At 44.4% G+C, this 15,984-nt stretch overlaps 1 protein-coding gene across 2 annotated transcripts in view; it reads right to left on the reverse strand.

Moving 5' to 3' along the window:
• Positions 1-12,188: 12,188 nt before the first annotated feature.
• Positions 12,189-15,984, reverse strand: part of PRKCQ (protein kinase C theta) — a 186,550-nt gene continuing 182,754 nt past the window's right edge. For both annotated transcript variants that reach the window (NM_001323267.2, XM_005252497.5), the window contains exon 18: positions 12,189-12,501. In NM_001323267.2, the coding sequence (NP_001310196.1) occupies positions 12,475-12,501 (27 nt within the window). In that variant the 3' untranslated portion in view covers positions 12,189-12,474. The remainder of the gene's footprint in view (positions 12,502-15,984) is intronic.

Below are 15,984 nucleotides of genomic sequence, written 5' to 3' on the forward strand. Positions count from 1 at the left end.
AGTTTACTTCTCTGGGTCTACTGTCGACATTCATCTAAAATGCAACTCCAACAGAAATTGTGGGACAGGGATGTCCCATTCACCTGGAGAAAGGCTATACAAGGCAATACAATGGCCATTGCAGCAAAAAAATCAGGTGTCTAGAAACATATTAAGCCAGAATTAAGCTGTAGCTCTCTGCATAGTTTATGAGACACTTCTCTGAAGTGCAGCTGAAAATGATGGGTGTGTGTGTGTTTTAAATCTGAAGGCCCTCGGGAATGGCATGTACACAAATGTCAGTGTTTGTGGGCATGAAAGGGAAGGAAACCAGACATGGGGCTGGCGGAGAAGACTTAACAGCTGCAGCTGGCATGCTTTTGCTTTGTCTTTGATTCTTTCGATTCCTGTTTGGCTTTGGTCCCATGTTTTGGGCTGTGACTAAGCTTTCGTGTCTTTGGGGGCTAAGTAGACATCAAAACAAGAAACGCCACTCACTGTGCAAATGGATTTGCCCGAAATGCTGCTGAAGAAGACAGGTTGGCATCGGGCTGGTGCTTTTCTGCTTCTACTTAAATAGGAGAGGATTTGGTCAAACTTGGTCCTTGGGACAAGGAGCTGTTTTGGACAAACGGTTTACGGAAGGTGAGGCTGGGTATTTTAAGAAGGGAGGTGAGAAGTGAGAGACCTGGAATCTGGTCCTTGTAATCGGTCATCTTGCAACATGGACTTGACTGTTGTGGAAATGGTCTACACCTCAGTTTCCTTTTTACCACAAGCTCTTCCCTCCATCTCTGTCGACACATTTCCCTCCTCTTGCTCCAGCCTCTGCTTATTTCAGGGGCTCAGTTTTCTCAAGATGGCCCCATGAAACTTCCTTGCCACAGAATGCTTCTCTGGATGCTATATCAATCGATTACATGTTAGTATGAATTTAGCTAATACACTACCTCCACATGTGACTGTACACTCAAAGTATCCCAGCAGAGGCACTCTCCCAGGTGCAACAAGATGAAACAGTCAGTTTCGGGGTCTCTTATCATGTCCCTATATAAACACAGGTGTGGGAGGGAAATATTTTGAGATGACTGCATGGAACTCTGTATTCCTTTTCCATATAATGAGTATATTATTCTCCAGCGTCTCTCCATTGCTCAAAACCACGAATATCTCCTCTCTTGAAAAAGTGACAGTGTGAGGACTGGGAAGCTGAAATTTTAGCTCAGAAGTCTACAACTAGAACCAAGTTTCTAAAAATGTGCTGTGTTATATAATCCAGGAGGAGGCAATGGAAAAGTACCAGCTGGTGTGGGACTGGAGGCTTTCCTGCCTCTGACTCACTCAGGCAAAAGGTCTTGAATTAAGATGCTTCTCAGAAAATCCAAACAAAACCCATTCATTCTCCAAGGCTTCGCATTCGTTGTGGGAGTCAAAATGTAACCATGGGACTGAGATTGCCTGGGCACATTTGGGAAAGTTCACAAAGTTTGTTCTTGTGTCCCTCGAGGCCAGCTTCCAGGGCCTCCCCACTCCTTTCCAGATGCCCGATGCCATCCTGCCGTATCTATGGCACCACAGACAGCCCTATCGGGAAGATGGCCCAAATGGCTTTCCCCATCAAAACTTGACTTCTCTGTCCTGTGGCCTCAGGCCCTGCTCTGGGTTGTCCTTAACTAAACAGTTAGATGGATCCTTGCTGTGGTGTTAGCTAACTGAATAGAGCACCTTTGAAAAAATAACATAATAGGCTGACCACGGTGGCTCATGCCTGTAATCCTGGCACCTTGGGAGGCTGATGGGGGAGGGTTGCTTGAGTCCAGGAGTTTAAGACTAGCCTAGGTAACATAGCAAGCCGTTGTCTCTACAAAAAATGTAAAAATTAGTCAGGTGTGGTGGTGCCTGCCTGTGGTCCCAGCTACTTGGGAGGCTGAGGTGGGAGGCTTAAGGGGGTTGAGGCTACCTTGAGCTGTGTTTGCACCACTGCACTCCAGCCTGGGTGACAGAGTGAGACCCTGCCTCAAAAACAAAACAAAACAAAAACAAAACATAATGTCTTAACTCAAAAGAGAGCATGGCTACTTGTGCAGTGACAAAAGTGGCTGGCATATCAGGAATGATGACTCTGGCCTAGGAAGATGTTTGGGACCTGTGGAGCCTTTGGATGTGGAGTCCCTCAGATCACACTAGAATCTGGCTGCCTTCTCCACGAAGAGATTTCTGTGTGGAAGGTCCAGGCATCTGTGTTTTGCAGCTCCCCAGAAGGTTTTGAGGCCTGTGGGAAATGATGGGGGACTGCAGCACTTGTATGCTGTGATGTCGGAAGAATAACAGCCAGCGGCTCAGCAGCATTAAGGCTTTGTGGACTGTTCCTAGGCTTTTTCCGTCTCTCCTTTTTTTTTTTTTTTTTTTTTTTTGCCACAGTTGACATCTGTACGCCCCACGTCACGTGAGGTTAGTGTCTGAGCAGGGACTACAAGGAGCCAACAATCCTGACTTCTGGTCTACCTTTCCCCCAAGTACCCACAGCCTCCCTAATATCCAAATCCTCATGTAACTTTATGCAATGAAACATATCAAACTTTACATAGCATTGCCCAGCCTGTGCACGTTGAGGTATTTCAAAGCAAAAAGCATTATAAAGTCTTTGTGAACCTCTCCCCACAAGCATGTAAAGCTTTGGGAACAGGCCAGGAACCACCTGCCTTGGCATACCATAGTGCTGTGACCATTGCAATTATATTTTCCAGATACAATTCTTGGGGCATGCAGTCTGAGAATGCTTTGCCTCTGAATGGAGCACATGGTTTTTGGATAGGGAAATGTTGGCCTACAGATGTATGAAGGCTATGGTGTTGGTGGGGGTGCCGTAATAGGATAACTTGAGTCTGAATGTGTGAAGTGATGTTTCGACTAGAGCTGATTTTGGAAGTGGTTGTAGCTGGCACTGGGAGATGAGGAGGCATGATGAGGGTGAGAATAATTCAATGTGAATTTTCAAGAGTTAGGCTCTTGAACTGTAAGAATGTAAACCTCAGGTCACTTTACTAAGAGGGGTTATATTGGGCCAAATGTCTGCATCTGCCTCCCACATTCATTCACCTGGCCCCACCTGCCTGCCCCCAGGTGCCCTGTATCTGGCTCAGGGCTGAGAACCACAGCAGCCTGGCACCTACTCCCTAGTCCTGGCCTTGTGGTCTCATGTGGTCTGGGCTGCTCCCACCACATCCCGACTCAGGTGAAGTGTGGATCTGAGCGCACAGCTGCAAAGTACAGGGCCTGGGGCCTTGACCAGGAAGTGCAGGTGAGTTCACGTACCTGTACAGGGTGAAGACAGCCTGAAGGAGGTGTGGGCAGGAGGGGGCTTCATGCCCCACACAAGGAGGTTTGACCATTGAGACAGGAGGTGGTGGCAGTTGTGAATTTTTCTCCCTTCCCTGCCCACCTCCCTCCTCCTCCCACTCACACTCACATTGCTCCAGGTATGGTGATGCCTTTGGCCTGCCCCTGAACGTCCCATATACCTGGACAGCCAGCTGTGTCTTCTGAGGCCATGAGCAGCTGGCAGCACATCCCTTGCATCTGCTTTCCCCACTCCCGCTTTGCTTCCTGCCCTCACTCTTGCTGCCCCGGGATTGCACCCATCTCCTCACAAAGCAGGAGCTGCGAAGATTTGCCTCAGGCTTTGTTCTCAAGGGAGGACAGGTCATTAGGGGCTGGTTGTAAAGCTGCACATAGAAAGCTATGCACATGCTTCACCTGGTTTCTTTTGACGTGGTCATAGGAGATTTAAATACCTTGGTTTTCCTTATCATGGAGGTATCTGTTTTTATGTGTTTGCTTTGGCCTCCTTTTCTTCTCAATTCACCAATTTATTTCCATATTTTTAATGCCAAGCCTCATAAGGAGTCCAGTGAATTGTCATATCCAATGAAGGTTGCAGTTGCTGGGCAAATATTTTGTGTTGCGTAAGGTCGATTCATGGGTAGCTGACCAGCTTACTGATGAGCAATCCTTGGATTCATGGCCCTTTCAGGAGCAAGAGCAGCTGGCCCTATGTCTGTAAGTTAGAGTCTGTTGGTGGGCAGGGCCAGCTGGGTATGGCGTGGTCAGTAGAAGTTGCAGCAGGATGAAGAAGGTGAGTTTTCAGCTCCTGTGGACTGGCTATCTGGCTGGCAATGTTTGTCCTGGGCTACTTAGGACTCCCACATAAGTTCCCTCCTGGCTGTCGTCCTGTATGTAGCTCAGCCTCCATTCCCAGGCATCATTTAGGCCCTTGGACAGGGATCAGTAAAGTTGTTCACTAAGCGATGGCTAAGGTGTGCTGTTGTGCAGAAGACAGTATAAACGCAGGTGAGAATTCCATCTGTTCTATTTCTCAGGGGCATAGTAGCAAGTCAAGGGACAGCTTGCACTCTCTGAAGAACTAATCAAGATGTTGTAAGGAAGATGTGACCTGGAGGTCATTTTGGGGAGTTTCGTGGCTGGTGAGTGAGAAGTGATCCCAGAACGAGGAGACAAAACAGAAAAGACAAACTGGAAAAAGTCAAGCATCAGCAGGTTGAACAGGGAAGGATGACACAAAGAGGAAGCGAAGGCCAAGGGAGCTGGTCAGCTCAGAGCCCCGTGGCTGCCTTGGCCCCAGGTTCTCCATGCTCATCAGTGTCAGCCTGGTGCTGGTCTCACAGGGCTTAGTGCTGAGCCAGACAGCCATGGTCCCTCCTGAGGGCTGAAGTGGGGTCTTAGCCCTGGGCCTTCCCCTTCCTCACCCAGCCTCCACTGCTGCTGCGTTGCCCGGGCCTGGGGTAGGAGGTGTGCATGGTGAGGAGGCTCAGGCTGCCTAAACTGAGTGCCTGCCATGTGCCGGCCACTGCTGGATGTGGACACTGCAGAGTCCACTGTGGGGCTCCCTCTCTGCTAAGGAAAATGTAGACAAGACCCGGCAGTGTGGCATGGCCACGTGTGCACGCACATACAGATACACACACACATAGACACATATATACACACAGAAACGTATATACACCCACATACAGGCACATACACAGTTACACATACACATACAGACACACACATACACAGACACACATATAGACATACAGATGCACATATACACACAGACACATTTGCACACACAAACACACACATACACACAGTTACACACACGTACACATATAGACACACACATACACAGACATATACGCATGTGTACTATCCAGACACACACATACACATATGCACACGTACACACATATACATACACACATATACACATACACACGTGTACACATGCAGACACACAGACACATATACACACATACCAACACACACATACACACATGCACACATATATGCACACACATATAGACACACACAGCCACACATACACATACACATAGATACAGACACACATACAGACTCATACGCAAAAAAATACATAGTCACACACACATGCACACATATAAACACACCTACACACACAGACACATACCCAGACATACATATACACACACAAGGGAAAGACAAAAGGGATTAAAGAATTAGGGATTTAGGGAAACAGAAGCTTTGATAGTCTGTATCAAAAATGTTTGGCTGGGCGTGGCGGCTCAAGCCTGTAATCCCAGCACTTTGGGAGGCCAAGGCAGGCAGATCACCAAAGGTCAGGAGTTTGAGTCCAGCCTGGACAACATGGTGAAACCCTGTCTCTACTAAAATTACAAAAATTAGCTGGGCAGGTGTGCACCTGTAATCCCAGCTACTCAGGAGGCTGAGAAAGGAGAATCACTTGAACCTGAGAGGCAGAGGTTGCAGTGAGCTGAGATCACGCCACTGCACTCCAGCCTGGGTGATAGAGCCAGACTCCATCTCAAAAAAAAGAAAAAAAAAAAAAAAAAAGAAAAACAACTCAGGTCTTTTATCTTTGAAAGAAATGAAAAAGCAATTTAGATTGGACAAAAGAATCACATCTGAAATGCGTGAAAGAATCACATCTGGACTAGGTGTGGAAGTCTCTTCTAAGTTTAAATTTTTATCAAAGGTATACATGTCCACATGTAAAGAGTCGCCTAGCTTTACAAGGGTCAGGATAGAAAACAGTGTTTCCTCCCCCTCCCCACTTCTCCTACCCTCCTCGAAGGGTAACCACCTTTACTGTTCTTACTTTTATTGCTACCTCTCCATTTTATGTTTAGTCTTTGACACCCTTCTTTGACTTCCCTCCATGGAAATGAAGGCTTCCCTTTTCCCCCACTACCTTCTCACCATGCACTCACAACTTTCCCATCTCTTATTCCCCCGAGTTTCGGTCAGATTAATTTTTAACATTTACTTTGGGAGGACTATAGGAAGGCCATTCAAAGCTGAGTCATGTAGTCTACTGTGTTGGTTATTGATTTCTGTGTAACAAATTACCCCATAATTTAGCCACTTAAGGCAATAAGCATTTATTATCTCAAGGTTCTGGCCAGGAGACTAGGTGTGGCTTAGCCGGGGTCTCTGGCCCAGGGTCTGTTGCAAGGCTGCTGTGAAGGCTGCTGGCCAGGGCTGCCATGTCCCCAGGATCAGCAGTGGGAGGCTCCCTTTCCAAGCTAACTCATGTAGGGTTTGCAGGTCGTGAGTCCTTGCTGGCTGTTGGCCAGAGATACCACCAACTCCTGACTGCTCAGGTCTTTCCATCAGTAGCCCACAGTGTGGCAGCTGGCTCCCCTCAGAGCTAGAAGAAAAACAAGAAGAGAACAAGATGGAAGCAGGTCTTTTTGCCACCTAATCTCAGAAGTGAGACTCCATCACCTTTACTGTATTCTATTCACTAGACACGACTCATTAGGTCCAACCCACACTTAAGCCTAGAAGGTTTGCATTAGTTATCTATTGAGCATAACAATATTACCAAAAACTTAGCAGCTTAAAACCACACACATTGATTATTTCATGGTTTCTGTGGGTTGTTGAGTTGGGCCATTGCTGAGCTGTGCCTTCTGTTCAGGGTCTCGCAAAGCTGCAGTGAAGGTGTTGGCCACGGCTGTATTCTCATCTGAGGCTTGCCCGGGGAAGAGTCCATGTCCAAGCTCATGCAGGTTGCTGGCAGAATGCAGCTCCCTGTGGTTGTGTGACTGAGCACTTTGGTTTCTTGCTAGCTCCCTGATGGAGGCCTCTCTTGGCTCTGGAGGGTACCCACAGTTGACTGTTATGGGGGGCTCTCCCAAGGTGGCAGCTTGCTTCTTCAAAGTCAGCAGAGGAGAGAGAGCTCCAGCAACCCTTATGTAATGGAATCACATGCGTTCATCATCTTTGTCATATTCCATTGATTAGAAGCATGTCACAGGTTCCACATGTTCTCAAGGGGAGGAGCAATGCAAGAGTGTGAATTTCAGGAGGTGGGGGTTATTGGAGACCATTTTAGAGACTGTCTACCACATACACTGTGATTGCTTTTTCTTTTGAAATGGTTTTAGACACATGAAAAAGTGGCAAAAATAGCACAGAGTCCACATGTGCCCTTCCCTTACTGTTAAATTGTACGTACTTTTCCTTTGTGACACAGCTTTGTGTTTTCTTTGAAGTGAAACCAAGCTTGATATTTCATTTTCTTTGTTTTCTATATACGTGTTGCTAATAAAACTCTCAATTCTTTCATCTAAATCTCTTCTTAAGACATGTAGGGACTTCAGGTGTTCTAGCAATTTCATCTCCCTGAAGAGGTCTCCCCTGGAGCCTTCTGACCTGTTCCGTCTGGGCGAGCTGAACTCCATGCCCTCTGCACAGCTGTCATCTTGGGATTTCTCCTTTTTGCCATCTTGGGGCTCCTCACTGTCTCCTGTTTCTTACTCTTGCTGTTTTCCTCTTTCTTAATTATTCTCTCATTTTGGTGGAGTTTTCTCTCATTTCTTAAGATTGGTGCATGGGCAGTACATTTTTTTCTTTTTGTGTCCTTACATGTTAAAAATGTCTTTATCCTGATACTTCCTTGATGTTTTATCTGGATATACTTGTGTAGGGTGAGAGTGCTTTTCCATCAGGAATTTGAAGACATTGCTCTATTCCCTTTTAGCTTCTAGTGCTGTTATTGAGAGATCTGGTGTCATTCTTATTCCTGACCTTTGAAAATAACATTTTTCCTATCCCATTTGGAAGCCTGTAGGATCTTGTCTATGATCATGGTGTTCTGACATTTTGAGATATTAATTGGCCTGACACTATGTTTTCTTTTATTAAATAATTGGTGATACCTTTTAATCTTTAAATTCATGCCCTTTAATTCTGATGCATTTCTTGGGCTTATTTCACTGATGGTTCTCTCTCATCTATTTTCTCGGTTGTTGCTTTCTGTACTCTTATTACACAGGTATTCAACCCACAGGACAGGTTCTGTAATTTTTCAGTCTTTTCTTTCCTATTATTTCCTCTGTTTATTTTATTTACTCTGTTTTATAGAATATTTCCTCAATTTTATGTTCTAATCCTTCCATTGCTTTTTATGTCTGAAATCATATTTTTAATTTTTAAGAATTTTGTTCTTTGAGTTACGTTTACATAGTACCTGTTCTTGTTTCTTCTTTTGTCTCTCTAAAGCTGTTAGTGATAGCTTCTCTTTAGAAAGTCTTTTTTTTCCCCTTCATGCATAGGCTTGTTTTCTCTAAATTGCCTGCCCCCTTATTTATTTGTATTGGCTTTTATCTTCCTTATTAGAGATTTTCTTCAGTTATCTTGTAATCCGTGATTGTTTCCTAATATTTTAGAGTGGGGAACTGAAACTGCCATTGCAAAATTATGACCAAGACAGTGAAAGAGATCTGACCTGACTGACTCCATCTTGCTTCTAACCTCCAAACTGTCCTCATTCATTCTTGGGCATGGGCTGAACTAACTTTGGGAGGAACTTAGTTTATAGTTTAAAACAAAGATAATAACAGCCTTTTCCCAAAACAAACCTCCTTCTTGTCTAGGATCTAGACTGCCTTTGTAGAACTAAGAAATTAGCCACAGGATTAGAAATTACAGTTTAGGAGTCATGCAGCTGGAGATTACAAGATTCTGACCCCCCCTAAACTGCTCCTAAGATCAGGGCTTGAGATATTTTGCAGACCCTGCACTTGATGGATCAGCTGGCACCACCCAGATCGATAAACTGGCTCATCTGATCCTGTGGCCCCTACCCAGGAACTGACCCAGCGCAAGAGGACAGCTTCAACTCCCTATGATTTCATCTCTGACCTAACCAATCAGCACTCTTGACTCACTAGCCTTCCCTCACCCACCAAATTATCCTTAAAAACTCTGACCCCTGAATGCTCAGGCAGGCTAGTTTGAGTAATAATAAAACTCCAGTCTCCTGCACAGCTGGCTCTGTGTGAACTACTCTTTCTCCATTGCAATTCCCCTGTCTTGGTAAATTAGCTCCATCTAGGCAGTGGGCAAGGTGACCCCCAGTGGGTGGTTACAGGACTATGAGGCAGATAGACCTGTGTGCATGTGAGTGGAGTGTGTTAACTGTGTACTTTAGAGAAGGACTAATTGGCTACACCATTGAGCTTGAGAACTTCCTTGGCTGGGCTGCTCTCTTGTCCTCTCAGCCTGATCATGTCCCACAGAAAACTCAACTGAGAGCTCACCTGGGTTGAAAGCCTGACTCTGCATGCTGGGGAGGGCATCTCAGCATATATACATTTAATCCCTTTCCTTCATCCTTTTAGTGTCCCTCATACCAGAGACCCTCTCTGTTGTACCCTCCTCTGACTATAAACCTACTGTCTTTTGCAAAAGTAGGAAGAACTAGGAGCTTAGTTGCTGAAACGGGGAAGAGGACATGTGGCCCTGTTTCTTAAACAAACTTTCAACAAACTGTCTTTATTTTAGCCCTTCTTTTATTCCCACGTTTATCTAGATGTACAGAATTTCTGAGCTTCTGGGAAAGCCTGCCTCAGTTTGGTCCTAGGATTTCTCTCTACTTCCGGCTTGGTCTTTTTTCTACTCCTTATCTGGTTTCTCTCCTTAAAATGTTGTTACAGTTGTAGATCCTTCCAGCTCCCCTATCTTTGAGGGCTTATGCTAAAAAAAAAGTTATTTTGCTATTGTTTTAGTGCATTTTGTTTTTGAGGAAGAAGTGAAAATAGATGCACATGTTAAATCCACCATCTTTACCTAAAGGTTTTCTAATAGCATTCAATAATCCATCCTTTCCCCCCACGAAATTAAAATATCGCCTTTGGATTCTGTACCTTGTCAATATTATGTTAATTACCTCGTTAACATTATGTTAATTTTATTACAGTGCCTTAAAAGTGTTTTTCATAACTTCTAAAGCAAGTTCCCCTTTTCTCTTTTTTCCAGAAAATTTTGGATTATACTTGGGCATTTATTTCACATAATATAAATGTTAAGATAATATGATTTAATTTTAAGCATAAAGCAAGCAATCAAAACGAAAACAAATCAACAACAAAAACCCCCTAAACCTTATTGAGATATTAGTGAAACGGCTACATTGTCTGAGGTATATACCCTGGGGTTCGTCATCGCGCCAGGAAAATTTAGGACACAGACACACAAAAGGAGTTTAGGAGCTGAGGTTTAATAGGCAGAAGAAAAGAGAAAGAGAAACGACTTAGAGAAAGGAGTCTCCAAGTGGAAAAGACTGGGTGGCAACGGATTTTATAGCCCGGTTTGAGGAGGTGGTGTCTGATTTATGTAGGCCTCACAGATTGGTTAGATTACTTACAACTTTTACATAGCCTACAAGGAAGGCTGGTTGCCCCACCAGTCTTGTTATGCAAATGGGCTTTCCAGTTGATCAGGGCCATCTTGCCTGCTCTTCACTGTACCGGTGGCTGACAAAGAGAAGGAAAGATTGAGCCGCCATCTTGAACATGTCTAGTCCCTAGTTCCTGCCCAGCACTCACCTGAGCGAGCTCCCAGCTTGCTTGTCTATGTTTGCAGCTCGACTTTAAGGCTGCTGTTTGTTAGAAAAGGATTTGGGGATGCTTTTCCTTAAAGAGGAGAACCTTATCGAGGACTCCCATACCCTTACTATCTGCCTTAGTGATTTCTTCTTAACTCCTGTATCACTAGTTGGAAAGACATTAAATTTGTATGTTAATTGTTGGGAGAGTTTTTTTATATGTATATGTGTATCTATATATATGTTATTGTTATTGTCTTTTCATCATAGAATATGCTTCCATTTACTTCAAACCTGTTTTTGGTGCTTTGATTTGATTTTATAGTTTTCTTTATGTGAACCCTTTGCTGTTAAATATATTGGATATGTTTTTCTCAGTAAAGTGTTTGGCTTTTTTTGTGAAGGGCCTGAGAGTGAATATTTTTCACCTTCACTTTTGTGAAGGGCCTGAGAGTAGATATTTTCACATGTGATCTCTTTTAAACGACCCAGCTCTGCCACTATGGTAAAAGCAGCCACAGACAATACCTAAGTGCATGACCGTGGCTGTGTTCCAATAAAACTTTATTTATGAAAACAGGCAGTAGGCTGGACTGGTGTACATGGGCTGTAGTTTGCAGACTCCTGACACAGGAGGTCCTTCACAGAATATCAATCCATTAATCTGAAAATGCAGGAGGAACTGTGTGTTTTTAGTCAACTGTCTCAGAGACATTTCACAGAATCTGGGGTCTGAAAGTTCTTTTGTGGGGGAGTGCCTTATTGTCCCACAGTTTGATCACAGTGTTTTTTTTTTTTTTTTTTTTTTGAGACTGAGTCTCGCTCTGTCACCCAGGCTGGAGTGCAGTGGCTCCATCTCGGCTCACTGCAACCTCCGCCTCCTGGGTTCAAGCGATTCTCCTGCATCAGCCTCCTGTGTAGCTGGGATTACAGACGTCCCCGACAACACCTGGTTAATTTTTTTGTATTTTTTTCAGTAGAGATGGGATTTCACCATCTTGGCCACGCTGGTCTTGAACTCCTGACCTCGTGATCCACCCTCCTTGGCCTCCCAAAGTGCTGGGATTACTGGTGTGAGCCACTGCGCCAGGCCGATCACAGTGTGTTTTTAATTGTATCACACATTGCATCTTACCATGCATACTTGTGTTCAGGTCTGCCCTGCTCTTGGATTGTAAAATCTTAGGTCTATGGTAGGGTCTGAGCTTTACTTATGCTTGTAACTTTCTTAGCACACTGTCATGGGGTAGATAATCAATGCATGTTAAATTAATACATGAAGAGGCAGGAGGAAATGATTTCTTAGAATACATGTGAAAAGGAAGCTGCTACTGCCATTTATGTATGATGTTAAATTCTGATTAGTTTATATGTGAAGGTGTCATGTCGTTCATTCCTTATCTTTGGTGATAAGCAGGGTGTAGCACTGGCCTTGTGATTACGACTTTGACACACTCTGGGTCCTCCCCCATCTGCCTTTGTTGTCGTAAGTGTAGTGGCCTGATCTCCAGAGACAGGACACCTGGCGCCTCTGCAGTCTGCTTGTGCATTCACAGGGCACACAGCACTCCACCGATGGTCAGGTTCTTGAACTAGGTCAGTCATTTTTCCCATTTGCCACTTGTCTCCTGGAGTAGAAGGGGGAAGAATTAGAACACAAACATCTAAAAATGCAAGAGAGACCAAAAAGCAAAACATAAACACAAACAAAAAACAGCTTTCTGACTGTCAGCTTCACTGAGCAGCACCATTCCTTTTTCTGACCTTCAGCGGCATTTCGGAATGGGTAGTGTTACGTGCCAGGGGCACCGGCTTTCTCAGATACGTGTTGTAAATACATACGCCAAATCGTCAGACGTGCAGTCCACGGTGGGTCAGCTGTTGAACTGATGAATTCAGCCCAGCAACTGACTGAGAAAAGGGCAAGTTACAGTTGAAAACCCAGGAGGAGAAAGAAAATCCATGCTGCTCGCAAGAAGCAGGGCCATTTTATAATCTATTTTCTCAAAAACAAATAGTGATTGTGTCAAATAAGAATGGTTGAGAGGAATAGCTTGATACTGTTCTTCCACACATACATCATTCACTCCTTCTCTTCATGACTCTTCCCTGAAGGTCTTCCTTGTGCCGGAACGGTGCGACCTTTGCTGTTACTGTAACCATCCAGTGGGTTCACCTTGCCCGCCGCCTAGAGGGAGCCGATTTATCAAGACGGGGGAATTGCAATAGAGAACAAATAATTTACACAGAGCCAGCTGTGCAGGAAGCTGGAGTCTTTTTTTTTTTTTTTTTTTTTTTTGAGACGGAGTCTCGCTCTGTCTCCCAGGCTGGAGTGCAGTGGCTGTGATCTCGGCTCACTGCAAGCTCCGCCTCCCGGGTTCACGCCATTCTCCCGCTTCAGCCTCCCGAGTAGCTGGGACTACAGGTGCCTGCCACCGTGCCCGGCTAATTTTTTGTACTTTTAGTAGAGACGGGGTTTTCACCGTGTTAGCCAGGATGGTCTCGATCTCCTGACCTCGTGATCCGCTCACCTCGGTCTCCCAAAGGGCTGGGATTACAGGCGTGAACCAGCGCGCCCGGCCGGCTGGAGTTTTATTATTACTCAAGCCAGTCTCCCTGAGCATTCAGGGATCAGAGTTTTTAAGAATAATTTGGTAAATGGGGAGAAGGCTCCTGAGGAGGTACCAGCTGATCCATCAAGTGCAGGATCTGCAAAATATCTCAAGCCCTGATCTTAGGAGCAGCTTAGGGAGGGTCAGAATCCCGTAGCCTCCAATTGCGTGACTCCTAAACCATAATTTCTAATCTTGTGGCTAATTTCTTAGCTCTACAAAGGCAGTCTAGTCCCCAGGTAAGAAGGAGGTTTGTTTTGGGAAAGGGGTATTATCGTCTTTGTTTTAAACTATAAACTAAGTCCCTCCCAAAGTTAGCTCAGCCCAGGAATAAACAAGGACAGCTTGGAGGTTAGAAGCAAGGCGGAGTCAGGTCAGATCTCTTTCACTGTCTCAGTCATTATTTTGCAATGGCGGTTTCATTACCAACATTGCCGAGGTCCTGACCGTCAGTGCCCTGTACTGAGTATATTTTTCAGAGGCCAACCTTTTCCTTCTCTGCTCCCACTCTATTTAGCTCTCGTGACGGGTCTGAATACACCATTGTAGCGTTCCCTCAGTTTTCCCCATCAGTAAGATGCAGGAAGACTTAATGGAATCCTCAAGCAGTGAGACTTCCTAGCTCCAGGGACTGAAAAACATTAGTAGATATTAAAACTTCCCAATAGCAAATGGCGATCGATAATGATATCATCTCTGTCCTGGGAACTTAGATGCTACTATTATCATAGTTAAATAGATAATAAATGTAAAAAGTCACCCCTAAGTACTAGACTCCAGCATTTAATTCCCCTTGCCATTTGCTAGATGTTAGAAACTTGGCTAAAACTAAGGCTTTTTTTGCCCTCAAGAGTTGATGTTTTTACTAAAACAAGTTTTATTGAGATACAATACAATTCACACAGCGTAACATTTACCCTTTTAAAGTATACAATTCAATGCTTTTCATATATTTACAGAGTTGTGTAACTGCCATCACAGTCATATTTCAGGACATTTTCATTACTCCGCAAAGAGCCTCCGTACCCATAGAGGTCACTCCCCAGTCTCCCCATGTCAAGCCCTAGGCAAACACTAATTTACTTTCTGTCTCGATAGATTTGCTTCCATTAGATATTTCACATGAGTGGAATCATATACTACATGGTCTTTTGTGACTTGCTTCTTCCAGTTAGCTTAATGTTCTTGAGGCTGACTTATATTATACCATGTAAGAGCACCTGATTCCTTTTTATTGCTGAGTAGCGTTCTGTTGTGTGAGTATGGCACTACATTTGTCTATCCATTCATCAGTTGATGCACATTTGGGTTGTTCATACCTTTTGGCTATTATGAATCATGTTGCAGCGAAGCTTGGTGCACATGTCTTTGACTAGGACATATGTTTTCACTTCTCTTGGATATATAACTAGGAGAGGAACTGCTAGGTCATATGGTAACCATGTGTTGAAAATTTAACTGCCAAACTATTTTTCAAATGCATTGCAACATTTTACATTCCCAGCAGCACTGTATGTTGGTTAATTTCCCCACATCCTTGTCAACACATGCGATTGCCCATCTTTTTTACTGTAGGCATCCTAGGGAGCGAAGTGCCAACTCATTGTGGTTTTATTTGCATTTCTCTAATGACTAACGATGTTGACCATCTTTGTATGTGTTTAATGGCCATTTGCACATGTTCTTTAGAAAAATGTCTATTCAAATTATTTGCCTGTTTTTTTTTTGAGTCTCACTTTGTTGCCCAGGCTGGAGTGCAGTGGCATGATCTCAGCCCACTGCAAGTTCTGCCTCCCGGGTTCAAGTGATTCTCTTGCGTCAGCCTCCCGAGTAGCTGGGATTACAGGCATGCGCCAACTTGCCCATCTAATTTTGTATTTGTAGTAGAGACGGGGTTTCACCTGTTGGCCAAGCTGGTCTCGAACTCCTGACATCAGGCAATCCGCCCTCTTGGCCCCTCAAAGTGCTGAGATTACAGGCATGAGCCACCATGTCCGACCCCTTTGCCTATTTTTAAATTGAATTTTTGTCATCATATTGTAGAGTTGTAATATTTATATATTTTGTATACTATTGCATTATCAGATATATTATTTGCAAATATTTTCTCCTAGTCTCTTGGCTGTCTCTTCACTTCCTTGATAGTGTTGTTTAAAGTGCAGACATTGTTTATTTTGATGAAAGTCCAATTTATCAACTTTTACCTCTAGCTTCCATATTTGTGATATTGTATCTAAGATACCCTTGCTGGCTGGGTGCGGTGGCTCATGCCTGTAATCCCAGCACTTTGGGAGGCCAAGGTGGGTGGATCACCTGAGGTCAGAGTTTGAGACCAGCCTGGCCAATGTGGTGAACCCTCATCTCTACTAAAAGTACAAAAAATTAGGCGGGCACAGCAGTGGGCACCTGTAATCCCAGCTACTCGGGAGGCTGAGGCAGGAGAATCGCTTGAACCTGGGAGATGGAGGTTGTAGTGAGCTGAGATCGTGCCATTGCACT

The sequence above is a fragment of the Homo sapiens genome, chromosome 10, assembly GCF_000001405.40.
Source record: "Homo sapiens chromosome 10, GRCh38.p14 Primary Assembly".
NCBI classification, from domain to species: Eukaryota; Metazoa; Chordata; class Mammalia; order Primates; family Hominidae; genus Homo; species Homo sapiens.